This window comes from Homo sapiens, chromosome 5 (genome assembly GCF_000001405.40).
Source record: "Homo sapiens chromosome 5, GRCh38.p14 Primary Assembly".
Taxonomy (NCBI): Eukaryota; Metazoa; Chordata; class Mammalia; order Primates; family Hominidae; genus Homo; species Homo sapiens.
Genome location: NC_000005.10, coordinates 19925180 through 19949025, shown reverse-complemented (window position 1 = coordinate 19949025; position 23846 = coordinate 19925180). Strand labels below are relative to the sequence as shown.

The window sequence follows — 23846 nt, the reverse complement described above, 5'->3', positions numbered from 1 at the left end:
AGCTTTCAATCATGTTTGAAAATGTATGCTTAAGTTGATCTATTGTTTAGAGTTAGGCATTGTGAAAAAAAGCAGTCTTGGCTACTTCAGTATAATTACATTTTTCCTAATACACTAGCTTTCCTTAACTTGCTTGAGTTCTTGAGCAAACTCTGGGCACATTTAATATATTTTCTTCACCCTTTTATTTTGAAATAATTAGATATCCACAGAAAGTTGGACAAAAGTACAGGGAGATCCCATATACTCTCCATTCTTTCTCCCACAATAACATCTTGCATAAATATAGTATGCCATGAAATTCATACTTGTACAATCTACGAAGCTTATTCAGATTTCTAAAGTTATTTGTACACTTATTTGTGTGTGTGTGAGCGTGCATGTATATATAGTTCTATGCAACTTTGTCATCCATGTAGCTATACGTAACTACAATCAAGATGCAGAACTGCCCTAGCACAAGCCTCCCTTGTGCTGCACTAAACAGAAACCCTTACAGAGGGCAACCGCTCCTATGTATTTCATCTCTATGATTATTTTATTTTTAAAATGTTATATAGTTTCCACGAGGTTTGTCCAAGTCGTTGCGTGTATCAACATATCATTTCTTTTTATTGTTGAGTAGTATTCCATCACATAGATAATTCAGTTTGTTTAACCATTCACCCGTTGAAGGACATTTGATTTAACTTTTGACTTATTATAAACATTTGTGTACAGATTTCTACAATAACAAAAATTTTCATCTCTCAGGGATAAATACTCCTGAGTAAAATTGCTGCTTTGTGCGATAAGTCTATTTATAAGTTAAAAAAATCCTGACAGATTAATTTAAGGAGTGGATGTCTTGTTTTACATTTGTACCAGTAACACATGAATGATCCAGTTTTTCTATGTCTTCATCAACATATTTTTACATTAGCTATTCTAAATGGTGTTTGTGATACTGCATTATGGACTTAATTTACACTTCCTCGATAGCTAATGATATTGAACATCTTCAATGCTTACGTACTCACTGTATATTGCCTTCAGTGAAAGGTCTGTTTATTTCTTTTGCCCATTTTCTAATTGGATGTATTTGTTTATTTGTTTACTGTGAGATTTGAGAGTTTATTATATATTCTACATAAAACCCTTTTGTTTGATGTGTGGTCTGCAAATATTTTCTCACTGTCTGTAATTTTCTCACTGTCTCTTTAGCCTGCTAACAGAGTCTGTTGAAAAGCAATAGTTTGTATTTTCTTTTTTTCTTTTTTTTTTGAGATGGACTCTCACTCTGTCACCCAGGCTAGAGTGCAGTGGCGCCATCACAGCTCACTGCAATCTCCACCTCCCAGGTTCAAGCAATTGTTCTGCCTCAGCCTCCCAAGTAGCTGGGAGTGCAGGCGCAGGCGCCACACCTGGCTATTTTTTTTTTTTTTTTTTTTTTTTTTTTTTGTATTTTAGTAGAGATGGAGTTTCACCATATTGCCCAGGCTGATTGCGAACTCCTGAGCTCAGGCAATCCACCCAACTCAGCCTCCCAAAGTTTTCAGATTATAGGTGTAAGCCACCACTCTCGGCCTGTATTTTCAAAAGAGTCAAGTTTATTCTTTTTTTCTATTATGGATCATGCCTATATATATCCTGAAGATTTTGTTCAATGTCTTTTTTCCTATAAAAGTGTGATTTTATAATTACATTTGAGCCTTTGATTTTTTTGTGGGTTAATTTTCATACAAGGTGTGAACCTTATACTAGGTCATTTCCAGTGTGTATGCTTTTAATTTTTTTTCTTACCTTATTTCCCTAGCTAGAATGTCCAGTATTATGTTGAATAAAACTTGTAAGAGAAAACATCCTTGCAATTTTCCTGACCTTAGGATAAAAGAGGAACTTAGTCTTACTTTATTAAATACAATGTTGTCTGTAGGGTTTTTGTATATATGCTTTATGTAGTATAGGAAGTATCGTCTAATTCTAAATTTCTACAAGTTTATATAATAAATGTTTTGGGATTTTATTGAATGCTTTTTCTGTATCATTGATATGATTGTAAATAATTTTTTTCTTTATTCTGTTGATATGGTGGATTACATGGTTTGATTTTTGAATATTTAACCAGCCTGCATATCTTGAATAAACCCCACTTGACCGATGTAAATTTTATACGTTGCTGAATTAATTGCATAATACTTTGTTAAGGATTTTTACTCTTAAGTTTATGAGACAGATCAGTATGTTATTTTCTTGCTTTGTACTATCCTTTTCTGGTTTTGGTATCAAGGCAATACTGGCCTTATAAAATATGTTGGGAAATGTTCCTTCCCCTTCTATTTCCTGAAAGAGATTGCATACAATTTGTGTTAACTTTTCTTTAAGTGTTTGGTAATTTTCTTAAAGCCATCTAGGCTTGGGAGCATGTTGGATATTCAGGTGACATATTCCAACTTGGTTAAGTTTCTTTCTTTATCCTCCCCATTTTTAAAGTATAATATTCTCAAGTATTTTCTTCGGATTCATTTAGCACCATATCAGATGATGTTCATTTTGATTAAGCAGGGAAATAGGGTCTAAAAAACTCATAAGGAGTAACACAGTCTATTGCATAGATCTCTGTTTTTACACATCTCATTGTTTTTCTTTCCTTTCCTCTATTAACATATTATTTTTGTTTAGAGTGCTTCCTTTAGCTATGATTTAATGGTAGATCTACTGAGAGCAAATTATCTTAGTTTACTTGCTCTGAGGATGTGTTTATTTCCCCTTCCTTCCGGAAGGATGTTTCATTGAATACTGAATTCACTGTTGACAGTTCTTTTATTTAATCACCTGAAATATATTATGCTACTTCCTTCAGGCCTCGATGGCTTTAGATTAGATATCTGCTGTCTTTCAAACTGGTATTCTCTTTAGGTAAGACACCATTTTTCTCTTTGCTTTTATGAGTTCTTTCCACATTCTTACCTTTTACTTTTTAAACTCTAATTTGTCTTGGTGTGGGTATCTTTTGGTTTTATCCTGTGTGAGCTTCTTTCCCTTTCTTGATGTATTACATATTTGGTGGAGCGTGCAGCAAATTATTTCTTTGAGTAATTTTTCAGTTTCATATTCTTTCTCCTTATTTTTCTAACTCCAATGACATGAATATTAGATCTTTTTGTGTTGTCCCAAAAAATCAAAATGATTTTTGAGTCTGTTAGTTTTTTAGTCTTTTATTTTTCTGTGTTGACCAAATTTTTTTGACTGGTTCTAAATTTCACTGATTCTATGCACTATCATTTCCACCACTTCTAAGGACATCCAGCATGGTTTGTTGTAGTAGTTACTGTGTTTTTCAGTTCTATAATTTCCATTTGTTTGTTTTCCAAAAACTGTTATTTTTCTGAGATTTTCTATCTCTTCTTCTGTTTCTGAGAATTTATAATGGATTGATGAAACATTTTCATTATGCCTGTTTTAAGATATTTGTCAAATAATACTAAAATCTGATTCATCTCAGTATTGATGTTAGTTGATTGTCTTTCTCATCAGATTGTGGATGTCTCCCTCCCTGCTATGATGACAGGTTTTGGATTAAATCCTGGACTTCTAGATACAATATTAGCAGACTTTTGATCTTATTTAAGTCATTGATTTCACCATTCAGTTGCCCTTCTTTGGCTTAGTGTGTAGGTTCTAGCCTTCTTTTGTGTGCTAGAATTTCAATGTAGTTTTCAGATCCCTTGCACTCTTTGCCTGTCTGCTTCATTTTCCTAGCACTTCTGTATCCCCAGCTTGATCCCTGCTTGTGTTGCCTATAGGTTTCCTGAGCTACCTCCTGGAGGTGGAAGGGAGCATGTAGGAAGAAGCTGCTGGGCTTGCTAATTCTCTTTCACTGGTAGAGGACTGGCAGACATTGGGCCTGGATATCCATACACCTCTAGATGGAGGGCTTGAAGATACCAGGCTTTACCACTGTAGGATAATCAGCCTTACCACCACCATGAATGTGGAGCAGAGATTGGGGGATCCACACTTAGTGTCTATTGGGCTACTCCGTTCTTTGTCATTTGGCCAGAGAGGCAGGCTGTTTTTATTTTGGTGCTGATGATTTGAGGTTGTAGGCCTCCCTGGTGCCCAATTCAAATGTAATGGTAAATGAACAGAAAACCCAGACAAGCCACTGCAATCCCGTTTCTTGAATCTTGAAGTCCCCAGCCTGGTACTATTTGTCTTTCCAGCTTTTGGAATCCTTTTATGGCTGTCTATTGTGTCATTTCTTGAGTAGTTAAAGTTAGAGGGAGCTACCAAAAAAAGTGAATCTATACCATCTCATCTGGGCATGTGTAATACATATTGAAGAAATGGACATAGCATGTATGTATCCATATCAATAAACATACCAGCTTAATATGCTGATATTAATAAGACAGGTAGCTCATTTTCAACAATGATATTGAGTGCAATAGGCAGAGGACAGAAAGAACTACAAAAACAGAAACTACTATCATAAAGTACAATGCATTTCTCCAGGCATGTGCAATATTGAAGGGAGTTGAAGATTTATATCTCTATCTTCTCAGCCAGTCACAGTAAACATTCACCACTCAAATCAAAAACTTAGTTTTAGGAATGGTGAATCTAGTACATTTAATAAATTATATACACACTTTAGAGACTTAGGTTTTTCTGAGTTTTATGTTTTACCAATTAAATATATAGTTTCTTTGTTCCCTTCAATGTTAAATTAAGTGGAATAGGTAGACTTTAGCTGTTTCTATTTCTGGTAAAATGTAATAATATTAAATTATATAAGACAGTTAAAACTTCAGGTAAAAACAAAACAAAATTGATAGCAAATGTTTTAGTGGAAATTCCATTACTAAACCAGAGGAGTAGTGGGAAACGAACAATCATCTGGAGATTAGAAGAAATATATTAAATTGGAAAAGGAAAAAGGAGAAGATGTCAAGGAGGTACATTCATCCTGACCTCTTCAATTCACCTAGCTCTTTAAATTAAAAGTGAATAACATTTTGTTTCATCTTATTGGTTGAATTAGTTAACCTGGTATTTATGTTCCTGGTATTTGGTATATTTGAAGTCACAATGAATACATGTAACTACTGATTTTTGGTAATACAAAATAGCTATTAGAAAAAAACTGCTTATATTTCATTGCTTTTAGAATTTATTTTTTATAAATTATCAAATAATAAGATCTCCCCAAATAGCACAGCATTGGGTATATTTCTTTAAGGGGAGGTTTTAAATATTTATTTTGCTATCTTTTTCATGTTAAGATTTAATTACAAATAGAACACTATAATACTCTAAAGGGTCAGGTGTCAGGATATTCGAGTGTTTTTTTAATTATTCATTGACTGGAATCCTTTGGTCCCAATTCTCTCTAAAAGACTCAGGATATTATACAGTTTTTACATGTTGGTATGAAAAAAGGTTAACTTGTTTGTTTTTATTTTCTGTAAATGAGATCTTAAAATTTATGGCAGATGATGGATCAGAGGACTGTTATTCAAATATGACATTTAAATCACATCTCAGTTTAGAGCTTGCAATGGCTTTCATATCTTGACAAGATTGGTTATTTACAATCTGAGCTCTATCTTGGGATTCATATGTTTGGATTCCTTCTATATCTCCTTGAAATATTACATTTAGCTTCATGTTTCCTCCCAATTCACTTTGAGAACTGAATTACTTAGATAGATATGGTGTAGTGGAATAAAAATGGCATTTAGATTCAAGAGACCACATTTGAATTCTAACTTCACCATACAGCAACTGTATATGCTTGTCAAATCCTTTAACTTCTCTGATTCTTACTTTTCTTACCCCCCCAAACAACAACAACAAAAAGATTATTACAATCATTTTCCCTCTGGGTACCTCACAGTCTTGTCAGGAAGATGAATATGGGATGATATGATGTAAACACACTTTGGGAATTATTATATTATGATCACTGTTTCTAAAACTGTCTCTTTACAAGTAACTTGCAGCTAGATAGAACTAAGCTCAAAGAGGCATCATGCTGTCATGAGGCACGAGGGTCACCTGGCAGAGAGTATATCAGAAGACAGCCTTAGCCCCCGACATGGGTCACCCAGTCCCATCTCCAAGGCCTGTGTTTGCTATGTGCCAGTAATTAAGCCCTAACAGTGACAAGAAATCCAGACCAGCTGCTTCCTCGACTGCTGCTGAGAGTCGGGGCATTTCTTGACAGGGGCTATGCTCCTGAGGTTTGCCTCATACTTCCACCTTGACCTCTATTTTCTGCTCACACTTTGCTCTATCTTTTGAACTGATGTCAAACCAAAGCCTCATTCTTTAATCTGTCTCCAGAAAGCCTTAAAGGAGATAGGTCAAAATTAGATAAGAAGGGTGACATCTATCAGCTTGTGGAATTCATTTGGAAGGACTCAACCTGTGGGCTTACTTGTTTCAGGAAAACATGAGTAAAAATGGCAGATTGAAAACCAGAAGTCAAGGATCAAAGTTACCCTCCAGGGATTTGTAGAATGGACATATTTTCCGTGGTAAATTTGAATATTTTATAGGAATATCGCTCCCTTGATAAAAAGCAAAAGGATATTTTATTTGTATATGAATTGAGAATCAAAGAGACACTTCTAAATGGTAGCATTCTTCATTCAGCCGTCAGCAATTCACAGCTGAAGTAGATTGTACTTATTGGCAAGGGCCAAACTTTAAGCACTTTGATGCTAATTTAACATATTCCAGGAAAGAATGATAATCCATTGAAGGAAAATCATATGTGCCTTAGTGCAGGGAATATGACCACACTGAAATTCTTCTTCCAAAAGGGTGTCTGTATCCTCCTGATATTTCAATACTAGTTGGGAATGGAACATCATCCCCTGTCAGAGATCTTCATAATCTTGATCCCTGGTTTAATATACTTCTTGACCCTGAACCATTATTTATCTGCTCTTTAGGTCTTATTTTTTTGAAGTCTGCTTTCCTGATTATGTCTTCTTTGTGACCTGGACCTAAACATATCTGCCATGTCTAGGCTCATATAATGCTCCAGAAGGTCAACTTGAAGGGAGACAGTAGTGTGCAATGAAATGAACATGATTGAGAAGATGGAACATTCACTTTAGTCTCAGTTTTTCAACTAGCTTCATTTATGATCTTAGGCAAATATGTCTGTCAATGAATCACATTTTTTATACCTTAGGAGTTAGGCAGGGTAGATGAGGATTGTTTTTTGTTTTTTGTTTTTTTTGAGAGGCAGGGTTTTGCTCTGTCACCCAGGATGGTGTGCAGTGACACAATCACGGCACATTGCAGCCTTCATCTCCTGGTTTCAAGTGATCCTCCTGCCTCAGCTTTCCAAGTAGCTGAGACTACAGGTATGTGCCACTATGCCCAGTTAACTCTTTTTTTTCTTTTTTGTAGGGATGGGGGTCTCGCTATGTTGCCTAGGTTGTTCTCAAACTCCTAGGCTCAAATGATCTACCCATCTTGGCCTCCCAAAGTTCTGGGATTACGGACATGAGCCATGGCACCTGGCCCAAGGAAGTTCTTAAAACATAATTAGCAAACAGTACAGAGTACATGTTCACCTCACTGGCAGTAAAGTTGGACTACTTCTACTCAGTCCCGTCTCAACCAAACATGTGCTATGTGCATTTTAACAAATTAGTTATCTTATTCCATTTGTGCTGTTATGACAGAATACCAGGAACTGAGTGGCTTACGAACACAGAAATTCATTTCTCACAGTTTTAGAGGCTGAGGAGTTTAAGGTCATGATGTCAGCAGATTCCATGTCTAGTGAACACCCTTTTCCTGGATTATAGACTTCTCACTCTTTCCTCGCATGGTGCAAGGGGCAAGGCAGCTTTCTGGAGTCTCTTTATAAGAGCACTAATCCTATTGATGAGGACTCCACCCTCATGCCTAATCACCTCCCAGAGGTCCTACCTCCAAATACTATCATATTGGGGATTAGGTTTCAACACAGAATCGTGGAGAAACACAAACATTTAGTTTAAAGACTTTACTCTCTCTGAACTTTTCTTTCACCCTCCCCCTTTAGGATGGGGATACTATTTTTTAAATAATAGACTGGAACTTTTATTAGGCATTAAAACTATAGAACTAAACAAGGAAAATATAGTTCCATTCTGTATCTTGAATTCTACTTGGGGAAAAAATATGCAAACAATACAGAATAATTGGAGACTTTTTGTTGCTATTGTTGTTGGTGGTAAGTGCTATGAAGAAAATAAACTAGTACTTGGAGAAAAGACACTAGAGGAAGGGCTCTATCTTAATCGGGGTGATTAGAGGACCCTTCTCTGAGGAGATGACATTGACAGGAACCATGAAAACTGAGAAGGAACTAGGAAAAAAATAATCTCTAGATCCACAAAGGCCAGTAAGTGAAAATTTCAACAAAGGTCTTCTTGGTCAGTGGTAGGTACTGAAAAAAAATTGTGTGAATAAGACACAAATGATGATTTATGCAGGAAATGATTTATACAGAGCTACATAAGCCAAATAGTAAATTTGGATTTTTTTCCTAAGTGTAGGTCTCTTCGATACACATTTTTGAAATAGCAGTCTGGCTGATGTGTGGAGAATGAGCTGGAGGCAATATCTGAAAATTGAAGATCAGTTAAGAGAAGAGTGCAATGAGTTAGGACAGAGAAGCTTCTGCTTTAAATTAGGAAGATTGTAGAGGAGATAGGGTCACATGTAAGCTATATTTTTACAATATTTAGAACCTATTGACTTGGTGGAAAATATATATTATTATTACTATAAATACTATAAATATTTACTTTATCTTTAATATTCTCAGTAATCAGATGAATAGTGGATTTTATCTTCAAAAAGTTAAATATGCTAAGCCTCTGTTATGAGGCTTTCTTTTTTGAGGTATAAAAATAAAGTTAAAAGAAAAGTACTGGTCTCTATATACATAAGTAAGAAAAAAGTGACAGGTTGATGCATGTAGATGCAAATATTGAAAACATTCAGCTTTTCTTGCACAATCACTAAAAACTTGTTAAAATAGGAACTATGCATTTTTGCTTGTACAACTAGAGTAAGTCACATAAAAGAAGAAAGAATTCCCAAATTTTGGAAGCCTATGGATTCTTATCTATTACCTCACAAATATATAAAGCATTTAAATTAAGTAAAGTCTCCTTTAAATTGATGAGTCTTTCCAGTCCAAAAACTGATGAAAATTTTATGGTATTATGAACTATTATTGAGTTCTCAATTTAACAAATCGAAATGATCACCAGTATACATCATTCCATACCACAAGATGAAAGCTTTGCTTTACATTATATAAATTTCATTCTGTTTCAAGAATGGAAAGAAAATATCTTGAGTCTAATTACTCTATAAAAGACAAAATATTTTCCAGCAGTATGCTTTAATTCATGATTAGTGAACACGGAGTTGCAAATATAATTAAGACAGAAAATTGTATCAAAAATTGTCAGCACTTTCAATCTACTTAAGTACAATAAAAAATTAGACACTTTTTAATCAGTGATGCAGTGGTGAAATCAGCTTTAAAGCTAAATAAACCTGGATTATAATTTCAAAAATAGACATTTTTAGAAATTAAATAAGTATATAATAAAAGGCTAGACTGCCTTTATTTGGTTGCTTGTAACATTGAGAAAGGAAATTTTTTTTATTGAATTTCACAAAGACAAGAATCACATTTAAAATTATGCCATTAACCTTCAAAAAATATATTTGCTATAGACTACTGCTAGATTTAAAGTAGAAAAGAAAAAGAAAAAGTATAATTATTAACTGTTGTTGAATAATTCATTTCAAATAAAATTTACTGACAAAGTGTTTTGATCCTCATTGGTAAAATTAACAAAAAAGATTTTTCATTTATGAAAGGACACTTAAATAACATATTATATCTGAAAGTATTAGTTCTATCCTCTAAATATTAATTACCTTTCTTGGTATATAAATTCAGTTTTTAATGTAATTAAATACATTTGGAGCATCTCTTTGTTTATGAACTTCTTAGAAGTTTAAATTAAGATTAAACAAAAAAATGGTCCAAATGTATTTAAGTACATTAAAAATTGAATTTATATTAAATACATTTGGAACATTTCTTTGTCTATAAACTTATTTTAAAGTTTAAATTAGAATTAAACAAAGAAATGCTCCAAATGTATTTAAGTACATTAAAAATTAAATTTATAACTATTGAACTACTAGTGATTTTTTTAAATGAGAACATGTCTGTATACAGAGTACCTTTATAACTTTAAAAGGCATATAATAGGCAAGCATGTTTATTTTTTCTACATTTTTTGGTCAACATCATCTAAAAATACCAAGATATATACTTTATGTCCTGATAGTTATTTCAGGAACAAAGCATGAAGTAGAAAGTCAAAGTTAGCCATGACATTGAATATGGTAACTAGAAAATATGAATAAGAAGAATAACAAGTCATATTCATGAAATTTCTGATGACATATGTGATTTATTTTGGTAATATTTACTTAATTATTCTAGCTATAAAATGAGATTATAAATGTATGTACCTTATTGGGTTATGGAGTGCATTTTATGAGAAGGTGTCTAACTGCTGAAAGTTGCCATTGCTAAATGCTCAATCTAGGATATCGGAAGTCATAATAATAATAAAAAAATTAAAATAAATAAACTTGTTGTTTCAGTCAGGAAGTCTGAAGTCTAAAGGATATGAGCAGAAGTTAACCATGACAATAGAGTAAGTTTTCCATAACCCAGCATCATTGAGTCCCTCATCCCTAAAATTTCTCTTTTCCTTTTTCCACAATCTTGGAAGGTTTCACAAGTTTCCATGAAACATGGTCATTACATTTCAGTGACTCCACTGCTTCACAGTATACACCCTCTAAATCTCTAAATTCAGTTATTTTTAAACACCATCTCCCAAAAAAAGTCTATGTATCCATTGTTTAAATATATATATTTAAATATATAAATATATATTTGCTATGTATATGCTATATATATAGCAAATATATTTTATTTGCTATTTATATACACTATATATATATATAGCAAATATATTTTTTCAAGGTTAGTGACATAATTTGAAATGTGATTCTTGTCTTTGTGAAATTCAATAAAAAAAATTTCCTTTCTCAATGTTACAAGCCACCAATAAAGGCAGTCTAGCCCTTTATTATATACTTATTTAATTTCTAAAAATGTCTCTCTCTATATATATAACTGCTGAAATTTTTTTGTTCTTCAAGGATGTAGTATTTCTAAGAGGAAGTCTCATTTCTCTCAAGCCCTCTTTGAAAAAAAATATGTACATATATATAATGCAATAGAATAGGAAATGTGTGCTGCCCATAGTGAGGCTAGGTATTGTTCGGTTATACTTTCTTTGAAATTGTACATTGTGTGTTTCTGTGTATGCAGGTCAGTCTATATGTGTGCATGTGTGGTTATATGTTTGTGTGCATTCGTTTGCTATAGAAAACATATTTGCAATCAAAACTAATTGAAAAATTCCATTGTAATGTCTGTTTATTTTCTGCAGATATTACTTAGAGTTTCTGTTTTCAATATTGGTATTCAGTTTAATCCTGTTCAGCCATTGTGCCTCACACACATCAGGGCCATATGTAAATCACATCTTCACTACCCCACCATAACACCTCCTTGTTACTTTCTTGTTGAGAATGCCAGTTCATATTACATTGCAAGTGCTCAAGAGAGACTAGTATACAGAATGAAAGAATAATTGCCTAATCAAATGAATGAGTGATAGGTGTCCAGAACTGGCCCTTTTCTGTAACCATAATTATATAGTTACAAAAGACCCTTCCCACCTCAGTTTCTTAAATTTCTGTCCCTCAACAGTGTAAACATGAAGGATATAATAATTTTCCAAATGTCTATAATGTTTTAAACTAATAAAATTGGTCATCTGATTTATAACATTGGTTTTCAAAAAATTGCTCTAACTTTTAATTTATAGTAACATATGAGTGTACATAAATACTTGAAAAGAGTATATATGGCCATGTTTATAATTACAGTGGTATTATTACTCTAAGAAGTATTTTTTGAAACTGAAAATCACAATAATTGCAGTATCTGTATCTATATGTATAATATTATTACATCTATATTCATTTCTAACCTATTTTTTAACTTATTTGTCAGTTTCTATATTTTATTTTTAAATCTTGAAACATGAAATTTCTATTCACATAAAATAAGTAAATGAATTGGACATATATTTTAAGAGGAGAGTGTTCTAAAGATAAGTTTAGGGCTATTTTGTTTAAAACTTCAAGAAATATATTCAGAATCTCAACATTTTACCCAAAATGTAAAATTTATGTTATACTAGAGCTTCTAGTTTTTATTTTTTTTCTTTAAAGAAAAACATGACATCTAAGAAGCAAAATTGTGGCATATTTGTAGTATCTATTAATTATAATGAAAACCTTAGAGTACCTATTTGACAGCTCTTTTTGTGAAAGTATACAGCACATTATTTTTAATCATTGTTGTATTGCTTTAAAAATTTTAAATTCATGGTATACAGTGTTTAAAAACATAAAATTCAGAGTAGTTCAGGTTAAAGGACTTTCTGTTTGAACATTCCCATGGCTTTCCTCAACATTTTGTCCTAATTTTTAGCCAGAGAAACAAACATCATTTATAATTAATTATTTTTTTAAAAAAGAAAGTGCTCTTTAACTTTCAAAACATTTCTTGTTGAAAAATTAAGCTAAAACAAAAACAGGCTGTTGCACTTTTTATACCGAAGGGGAAATTTTAAAAAGTAACAAGGCAACAAATGACTCAGAAAAACACATTTTAAAATACATTGGAATCAATTGTGTGACAGAAAGAGCACAGGCAACTTTCAGTGTTACTGAGAATAACAGAATTATTAAAACTTAAAGCCTCAGTGTTAAGATGCTGTGTTGTATCACGCTAATTATATATGGATTTTTTAAACATGAGTTTTCATCACTATGATTATGCAGAACTTCCTATATGTGATCTACAGAAACTGGGAAAATAACAGCTATTTCAATCATACAGTCTGGAACAACAGTACTAACAGGTGTGACTAAACAATTAAGCGAAACACATCAGGAACAAAAAAAAAAATCACAAGTTTGGAAATGAGCATTGAGAAGACATTGGGACAGAGAGAGAGTGAGAGAGAGAGAGAGAGAGAGAGAGAGAGAGAGTTCCTGACTGTATGTAAAAGCTAGCTCAGTGCTTATGAACAACCAATACATTAAGATTCTTTATTTTCCACAGTAAAAAAAAAAAAAAAGTTTTTAAATACAAAGGGGATAATGAATCACTTAACAAAGAAGATACATTCTGAGAAATGCGTTGTTAGGTGTTTTTTTGTCCTTGTGTTAACATCACAGAATGTGCTTAAACAAACCCAGATGGTATAGTCTACTACACACCTAGGCTATAACGTATTGCGTATTCCTCCTAGGCTACAGACATGTACAGCATGTTCCTGTACTAATTTCTATGGGAAATTGCTATACAATGGTATTGGTGTATCCAGAAGTATCAAAACATAGAAAAAGTGTGTACATTAAAATACTGTATTAATAGCAAAATCTTATAGGACCACTGTCATATAAGTGGTCTGTTGGTGACCGAAACCTCAATATAGGGCACAGAACTGTAACTGAAATCGCCTAGCTTACTTAAGAATGTCTATAGAAAATATAGGGAAACATACTAAAAGTAGTCAAATCAAAACCTGTTAATTCTCATCTTTCCAAGTTGGGACAAGTAAATGTAAAGTTGCCTTAAGATGTAAGAAGCTGGTCATGAACAGGTATATTTCTAATGAACTGTAAGGGTCCTTAAAGTTTTTGAGGGTATTTTCTTCTGGAGGTGCCGGACAAAGAGTCAGCTAACAATGAAAGAACATCCCCTGAAATAACAACTTACTTCCTCTTTCTCAGCTTCCAAACTAAAAGTGGTATTTGAAGACTGAGACATAATCATAGGCCAAGAAAACAAACTTTTCAAAACCTCCTTATACATAAGGACATATGCTAAATAAACATGATGTATGGATCCAATTGTTTTCCTCTCCTCTTTTTATCTGGGTTTATTTTAACAAAGCAATCAGGACTTAGGATAAAATAAAATATGAAAGACCATAACTAGCCACTTTGATAGATCTAGAGTTTTTTGACTCTATTATTCTGTGCAAGGTTATTAATAAAATGAAATCCATTGTCTAAACATTTGCAAAAAGATGATAACTATAAACAAAGGCAATCCTCAGTGTGACCACATAGCATTGCTGAGGGAGTTAACTAAGACCCCTGTATCTTTACATCAAAGCCAAATTTAATCAAAGAGCCCCTAGTGCATATTCTCAGTGCATGTAAAAGCTCTTTTTTAGTTTTATGAAATGGAAGTAAAAGTGGGCCTTTAAAAAACATGTTTAAACATTTCCTCTGGCCTGCTTTAGGCTTCATTGTTAGCAAGAATTCTTTAGGGAACCATCTGTCTGTGTGTGAATGACCTCCCCATACCTGTTAGAAAGGGAAGGCTTGTGCATAAATATAACAGAAACATTTAGGAAAGGTAGAATGAGAGCCCACTGGGTTGTCATTATCCCTAAAAGAGGGATGCTTAGACCCAGAAATCTGAAATGCAATTGACAGTTATATATGAATTCAGACTTATGTCACTGGACGTCCATGAAGGATACAGAAATCATCCAGCACATTAAGTCCTTCTCACATCTAATGTTCATAAAATAATTCATTTATTCTTTTATTTCCTTTCTTCCTTTTCTCTCTCTCTCTCTTTCTCTTTCTGTCTTTTGTTTCCTTCTTTCCTTTCTACTCTTATTTATTGTATTCTTTGATAACACATTTTTACCACCTGTTGTCCTAAGTACTAGGATTTACAAGTGGGGAAAATAATCCTGGCTCTCATGGAATTTATATCTTTTGGAACTACCGGAACTGGAATGAAGAATATTAAAATTTAAGATGCTCTTAGACATCCAAGTAGCTATGAATTGTTGCAATTTGAACATTTTAGTCTAGTTCAAGGGATAGATCCAAACTAGAGATAAAATTGGCAAGTCAATACTATATGTTTGTTATTTGAAGCCACAAGAGTACATTTTATCTCTTTCCTAAATGACAAAAAAGGAAAGAACCCTAGAAAATGGTCCTTTTCACCATTTTAAGGATCAAGGGAGGCATCAGAAATGGACGCTAAAATGTGCCAGAAAGTAAGAAGAAAATTCAGAATATTTCAATAACTAGGAAGAAAACAGTAAGGAGAAATTTGAATCCTCCTATTTGGTCATAATGGATGAAAGCAAAAATTAACTATTGGATTGAACAATGGAGGTTGCTGATCTTGCCAAGAGTACATTAGGTGGAGTTATGATGGCAAAATACTGATTAAAATTGGTGCAAAAGAGAAAAATTGAGATACTAAATATAGGTAACTCCAAAAGTTTTGCTTTCAAGGCAAAAATTGGGACAATAGCTGGAGAAAGAATTTAGGTCAATACTGAATACATTCATATACTGGTAAAAATATGTAAAGAAAAGGAGAAAAATAATGATGGATGAGGAAAGGGGTGCAATTGATGGGATGCTTTTCTTGAGAATATAAGTGAAATGGAACTTAATGCACAAATAGATTACATGAAATTGCACAAGAGCACAGATATGTCTACTGGTAAATTTTTAAAAGAGGAAAAAGGCAGATAATACTAGAGGAGGTGTAAGTAGGTGGGCAAATGTGGTAGAGCAAGCTTATAAAAATTTCACTTATGGTTGTCTCTTCTTATCCTGGTTAAATGGGAAATATGATCATCAACCTAGAATAAGGATTAAAGGGGAGAATTGGTGAAGGTTTAAGATAGTTCAAAGGACAAAAGTACCAGCCAGTAGAGAAGGATATTGAATAAAGACCTGCATTACAGTTATGATTAGGTATATATACCTATAAGGTATTAGGTATTATTATTACCTATTACTGTATGTAATACAGTATTAGAAGCCTATGTTAAGGGCCATATATTTAATAAGAAACAAGTAAAAATTACTATGTGGATTCTTTTTCAGTCATTTTCAGTTGTATGTACAGATACATGGAGTAGACAGAGTTGCACTTTATCAGTGTCACAATTTAGTCTAATGGTATATCTAGGTATGTAAAGAGCTAATTAGACAAGTGGTTTGAGCATGTATGCAAGGGAATATTTTTAATAATTAGGCATGGGATGAAGAAAAAAAGGCAGACAGGATGGATATTAAGTACTATGAAAAGGTAGTAGGATCATTGGACTATTGGGTCAGGGACAGATAAAGATTTGTTAAAAATTAGTATAACAAAGTGAATGAACTGCAAAGATTGGAGAAGGTGGGGAAAAGGTGATGCTTGTAAATTCAAGGTGTGTGTATTGTGGGGAGAGGGGCGGATTGTAATTATTGTTAAGACAAGGCCTAGTGGATGACCATTGTACTGTTGCAGAGAGGGAATGAGATAGGGGATAGACAGCTATCTTTGATGAAGAGGAAGTAAAGACATTGAGAAACCCAGCATGTTAGGAGGGGCATCTACATAGATTTTTGATGGGATTGTTGTAGAGAATATCTGAGTGAGATTGTTTTTTAAAAAGGAGCTAAATAACACGCGTACTTTAATAAGTTTAGATTCTCTGCAAAATATTCTGCACATGAGTATAAAACATCCTTTCCCATGTTGATACATTTCTGTGAAAAGCTTTGTGCATTCCAGTAGTGTGGGCTTGTGTGTTTATTGTTTTCTCATCCTCCAAGTGCCAACGTGTCTTATAGTTCTCAGAGAACTATAAGATATCCCATATGCCACATATGGAATCTACAGTTCATTCTCATTGGTTTGGAAAGTGGTGTATTCAACTTTTTCTTTTAGTTCATACATGTTCTTTCAATAAATTTAACTTCTTATAAAAAATGTACTTTAGTGGAGTGAAAGATTGAGTGAAGAGAACAGAGTGAGGAGTTGGAGTGATCTTTGCTTAAAGATAAAGAGAGGTGGCATAGGATAGAGGGAACAATGGGAGGAAAAGGGGAAAATGAAACTTAAACGGCAGGGAAATTTAGATGTGTATATAGAGAGATGAACACTCAAAAAGCCAGTTAAACAGGTACCTAAGCACAGGGAGAGATGGATATAGGAGTTAATATAAAGCAGAGAGATATATAAAGGACTTGGGGAAAGAGAAAGAAATTTGGAGCAAGTCTTATATTTCATTCTGTGTTAAACAAAGGAAAATATTAGTTGTTGCATTTTCCCATTTCTATATATGAAAAGTTTTTTTTCACTTCTCATGCATTTGCCCAATAAACAAATATTAATAATATAGCTTTTGTATCTGATCTCTAACCAGACACCACCAACAGTTTTTAGACTTTCTACTTTGAAATGCTGTGTCTCTGAGAAGTTAAAGGAATCAGTACTTGTATTTATAGCAGAAAAATTTTTATTAGGTAGTAACAGCAATGGCCCTAAATATTTAGGGCTCAATTTTAACCACATTACAGGGAAAATATTTATTCCAAATGTTTTAATGCATGTTCACTTCAAAGGAAAATAAAATTTCATTGTTGGAGTCAGAAATGACTTTTATTTCATTTAGGAACTGTAAGACAGAAAAAAATTAGCTGTAGATATGTGTTAGCATGTTAACTAAGTTGACACTATTTTGACAGATGAAATCACAACTCAGATTAGATTGAGGAGACATAAAATTGCCATTGAAGAATCTTGTATTTGAACTAAAAGGAATAATTTTATTAATCAAGTAGATAATATGAAGGGTTATGATATTCTTAAATAATTCTTAAATGTGACAAAATTAGTGATGTAATTTTTTTAAATGCTATACCTCATGTGAGCTCACTGGCATTGTTTGACTAATACTATTTGTCTACTTAAGTATTTCAATATTTGAGTACATCGTGAACCAACCCATGTAACATATATCTAAATCATATCTGCCAAGATGTAGCAACTGAGAGTCTTGATCACACTTCCATTCTTAAGTTTATAAGGACTTATAATTCTTAATTCTGTGTTTCGAACTGAGTTTCTGTTATTAAGCTGCAGAAACATCTTAAGACTTTGGTTTATTTAGTTTGACTGTTTCTTGATTTTTTAATTTGTCTTCCTTTGTAAATGAAGACATGATCATCTTTAAATATATTACGGATCTTATGCACTACAAGCAAGGGCAGTTTCATAAGCTTAGAGATAGAGTTTATGATTCGTTTTCAGCCAGCTGTTTCCTTGACAGCACACTAGGCCTCTTGCTATTGAGCTGCTCTGAACTCTACACTTGCTACCTTACCCTTTTATTTATCTTCTCACGTACAAGTGTCCCCCGGAGCTTTGCGGAGCCTCTCCCATGGTAACCACATGATCAATATTTCCTCCTTGATTGATATGATTGTAGAACACAAAATGCTACTGTGGAAAATATAGGAGAGCCTTCTCTGTTGTTTTTCACACTTCCATAATATGAGAGAGATTTGTTTTTAATTTTCATTTTAATAATGGTTATTTCCATCTCCAAGTCATTTTTCTTCTCTTTTCACCTTTTTCTTTAGCCCTATGTTCTAACTCTGCTTCTTCAGTGTGTACACATATGTTTCTCCTTGCTCGCTCTCCATTTAGCTTTTTAACACAGTCCAGAGGCAATATTTGATAGTAATTAAGAATGCATACTTTGGCAGTAGATTCCCTGAGTTGGAATCCCAGGGTTACTAATTAGGGATGTGTGTATGTGACCTTTAGTATGTCACTTATCCTCCCTTTGTTCCGTTTTCTTCATCCATATGCTGAGAATGATAATTATAAGCTGTGACCCTTAAGGTTCTTTAAAGATTAAATGAACTAGTGTTTCAAAGAGCTTTGAATATTTGCCTAACTTATGCTAAACCTTTTATCAATGGGTGTTAGCTGCCATTCTTATCTTTTACCCTGTCACTGTCATTATACATCTGAACCTATTTTTTCTTAGTTTCTACTTCAACCTCTACAGGAGCCTAAACCAACGTTTTTCCTGCTGCAGAAAGCCATTGTGTTTTAATTTTCAGTAAATTATTGGAAATACAGTCATCCAATGATGACCATTTATGAATATAAAATGAAAGTTCAACATATATAAATAAGTTGGGCTGATTCCTTTTACTATAATGAATGCAAATAAGAGGTAAAGCCTAGCCTACAAAAATCAACTTAAGATGGTTACATTCACACACCAACATTTAAGGCATTGATGTATTGAGGCCTTTTTTTGTGTTTAAAGTCCTTGCAAGTCACATCCTAAATACCATGCAGACTAGTCCCAAATTCTGGATTTCTGTATATTATTAGGGAGGCATAACACATGTACATCAAAATTAAAAATTGTTTGACAAAGCCAATTGCAAGGGTATGAAAATACTCTGAAGGTGTCCGTAATGCCTCCTGTCTACTCTGGGCTGATACCATCTAAATATTTATTCTTCGTCTCAACATTTCGTATTTCCTCCTTGTGATTTCTTGCACTAATTTTGCACAGAAAATGTTTGATTCAGTCTTGAGGAGTCAGTCTGTTTCCTAATGCTTGCTGTGTCCTCTGCATATAGTAATGCTCTTCTGTTCTTATGGAGCATGGAGCATTTAGGTGCCATCAATACCTATGTCTGATGCCAAACTAAACCTAAGTGATTAAGTCATTTGATTAAAAGGCCTGTCTTTTGTGTTGTCTAATACTGAGGAGAGGAAGAAGTGATGACTCATAACCATGAGATTGCTAGTCACGAAGATGAGTCAGGGCCAGTTTTCTTTTCCATTGATCATATAAAACATGAACACATGTGTACTTTGCAGTCCTAGAAACTTTCATTAATTATGAAAAGTTAGAAAATTTTGTTTACAGTATTTATAAACTCTCAAGGAATATTATGGAAGCTTCACTCCCATGATGTAATTAAGGATGAAAACGATGTGTATGTGTGGCCAAAATCTGAAAAACAATAAAATAAAAATGATTTAGGTCTCTTTCAACCCAGTCTCCAGGAATGCCTCTGACTAAATTTCTTCATCTGTAAAATGGGATATTGCTAGTCATCATCTATAAGACTGTTGTAGGGACTAAATAAGATAACATATGTGAAGAGCTTAGCAGTGCCTGAGCCCCACTGTGCAGCCAATGCATTTATTCAGAGATCCTGAGTGCCAAGGTTTAAGTTCAGCTGATGATTTGCGGCAGTACACACTCTGGGCTGTTTTCTTCCCAGGTTCATTCCTGCCAATCCTCCCAGTGTTCTGATCTCTTTTGCTACTCTTAGCCCATTGTTCATTTCTTTCTTTTAACACATTCTCAAGCTCACACAGGAGTATTGTGTATCCTGTATGGATATGTATGTTACATTCCTGTATTGTGTAGCATGTATGGATATACATGCTACGTTCCATGTACTGATAGAACTTTCAGGATGATCATTTATTTCTTCCAAGTGAAATTTATACATATTTGGTGACTTCTAAATCAGATACAAAAGTAAGTCATCTTGACCATGCGTAGAATTCCCATCTTTTATTTTGTTTAGCAAAGTCTCATAGTTTTTGTATAATGCTTTCTGTGTGCCGGGCCTTCTTTTAAGTGTTTGCAAACATTAATTCATTTATGTCAGTAGTTTTTAGTACCGAAAATACAAATAACATGTGGCTGAGCAGCATATTGAGAAGAATTCTGTTTTAATAATATTGCTTTTAAATGTTTTGGCACAATTTAATTTGGTCTAAGTGTCTTTGGACTGCAGCCATTGAAAGCCAGGGCGACTCTCTGCAGGTAATTTGAGGGATCTTTTGTCCTCACAGTGTCTGGTTCTTGTTTGAGCTTCTCCATGACAATGAATCAGGACGGAGCCCTGGCAGGCTGTGTTTTTCAGAGCTCTGCATGACCAAAGAGCAAGTTGTGTAAACTAATAGATTACCTCAAATAAACACAACAAGATAGGATGGATTTAATAGACATGGAATCTCTTGTAGGCTTAGCAGCCAAATTCTCTATTTAAAGACTCAGAATCACAATGAAGCAAAATTTGGAAAAGGCTTATGCCATCTCAAGGGTCTGTCAGAACAGAGAGTACAATTTACTTGCAAGCTCCCTAAATGAATAAATATAACATCATATTGGTTGTTTGGTATTCTGGGAATAAACTAAGACCACATTTCTCAGGTTTTTTCTGACACATATTAGATTGATAACTTTTTTCTTTAAGAAATGAAATATTTTTATACATAATCTCCAAAAAATTACATGTCTGCATTAGAAAATAGCTGACCTGCAGTAACATTCATAAAAATATCATTTTGCTAAAATAATATACATCATAATAATTTATATATATGTGCTTTCATACTTTATTTCAGAATCATACATCTTTATTAAAGGAAATATGTTACTATTATTAAGGTACTGTCTATATACATTTAAAAAGTCAGTACAGTGTGGTCATTAAGAATTCAGTATCTGGAGTTGGAGACTTTTGAGATCAATTTCTGATGCTTTGAAGCTTTTTGAATTTGGCAGGTTGCGTAACCTCATCTTTTAAGTGAGGGCAAGAGTCAAAACTACCTCATAGAGTATTGTGAGAATGAAATGAGTTAATATATTCTCACCCAAACATGTAAGAAGCTCATGCCGCCTGCTGTGTCCTGAGTAATGATGTCCTTACTCTCTGAATGTCATCTCCTGTCTTGTGCCACCATTTCTAACACTTTATGAGCAGGTTAGCATAGCATACAAGCAGGATAAAATCTCAAACCCTTCAAAGTTATTGACTATATTGTAAGTACCCAATAAACGTTATCTAGAATTACTATTACAAATATAATCAAAAGAAGTCATAAAACAAGAAGTACTTAATGTAAAAATTCTCGACACTGTCAAGGCCAACAGTATGGCAACTGACTAAAACAATTCTGTAGCAATTCTTTAACGCTTATTTTTTCTTTATAAATGACAGAATGTTTAATTTAATTAGACTATGGTTTAACTATTTGACTCCTTCATTGAGGTATACCCTTATGCAAACCTTTTCTATCCTGAAAATACAAGTTATATATTTGTATCTATATACATATTTATATCTATATATAGATACGTTTTATTTCTAGGCATGAAATTGTGAAATATCTTGGCATACCTTTTCAGAAAAAAACAAAATTGGAAATTGATACACTGATTTGTATTTGGGTAGCAGAAGAAAATTTCATGCCTTACCAAATCATTTGTAAACTATCTAATGGAAAATAAATCAAAACAATGAAATCATACTTGAGAGTCAATTTTATTACCTATAATATATATTACATTATTTAGTTAGAAAGATGAAGCTGTTTTGCTTGATATGGAAATTAAATACTGGAATTTACAAATCAAAATGTTAGCCTTATATTAACTTCAGTCTCCTTTTGTTTTGTTTCACTTTCTTTTTACAAAATTGAGAATATTTTGATTACCAAAGATAAGTAAGTACATGTAGTCCCTGTTTTAAGAACTCACTTAGCAAATTCAGATAGAAACACCTTTGCCCTGAGGTCTGTACAAAAGTTGGTTAACTGGATAATACAATGAATTGATGGTTGCTGATGTGTTAAAAGTTGTTATAAAACATATTTGACATTTTATTTGTTTTATAGTTTTAAAAGTATTTCAAGCATATTACCAGTGAAATTAAAATCACTGATTTATTAAGCCTCTAAAGCTCCTTCAGACTTTAGTGAATACACAGTTGACCCTTTAACAACATAGGCTTGAACGGTATGGTCAACTTATATGCAATTTTTTTCAATAAATACATGGAACAAATTTTTAGAGATTTGCAACAATTTGAAAAAAAATTGCAGGTGAACCACGTAGCTTAGAAGTACCGTAAAAATATTTTTAAAGTTGATATGTCATGAATAAAAAAAAGTTGATACTATTCCATTTTATTATTCGCTACTATAAAATAAACACGAATCTATTATAAAACTTAAAATTTATCAAAACTTATGCACACATAGACCATACCTGGTGCCATTCCCAGTTGAATCAACAAATGTAAAGATACAGAATTAAATCAGAACTGCATAAAAGAAATGATAGTACATACCATACTACTGTAGTAATTTCAGAGCCACTTCCTGTGGCTTATTTCAGTGAGCTCAATTGTCGTGAGTATCCACTTAAAATACAGTGTAATGGGAGGCTGAGGTGGGTGGATCAAAAGGTCAGGAGTTCAAGACCAGCTTGGCCAAGATGGTGAACCTTTGTCTCTACTAAACATACAAAAATTAACCATGCGTGGTGGCAGGCACCTGTGATCCCAGCTACTTGGGAGGCTGAGGCAGAGAATCGCTTGAACCCAGGAGGCAGAGGTTGCAGTGAGCCGAGATCATGCCACTGCACTCCAGCCAGGGTGACAGCAAGACTCTGTCTCAAAAAGGAAAAAAAAAGAAAAATGCAGTGCGATGCTAATCATCCCCATGTGATGAGTTCGTCTCCCCAATAAATTGCGGATCACAGTAAAAAGTGATGTCTTGCGTTCTTGCATATTTTTCATCATTTTTACTGCAATACCATAAACCTTGAATAACACCAGAAGACCCACAGGGAGTGCCACTAATGATCCTGGAAGTACTTCCGGAAACAAAGCACTCACATTACAATAAAATCTTATATGAATTGCTTTATACATACTGTAGCTTGAGGTCTGCTGCTGTGGGTGCCCTCCTCTTCAGGAAGACTCATCTTGTAAATGGGTGATGT

General features: G+C 33.5%; 1 protein-coding gene across 17 annotated transcripts in view, besides 1 other annotated feature; it reads left to right on the top strand.

Annotated features, from left to right (window-relative positions):
* The window catches only part of CDH18 (cadherin 18), a 1104418-nt gene that overhangs the window by 626688 nt on the left and 453884 nt on the right, over positions 1–23846 (top strand). The gene's annotated exons all lie outside the window — the stretch shown is intronic.
* Positions 20669–21316: an enhancer, noted in NCBI's record as "OCT4-NANOG hESC enhancer chr5:19927819-19928466 (GRCh37/hg19 assembly coordinates)". NCBI's record gives its function as "activates a minimal SCP1, AML or CMV promoter by ChIP-STARR-seq in naive and primed H9 embryonic stem cells {active_cell/tissue: H9 hESC(naive and primed)}" and the evidence as "EXISTENCE:reporter gene assay evidence [ECO:0000049][PMID:30033119]".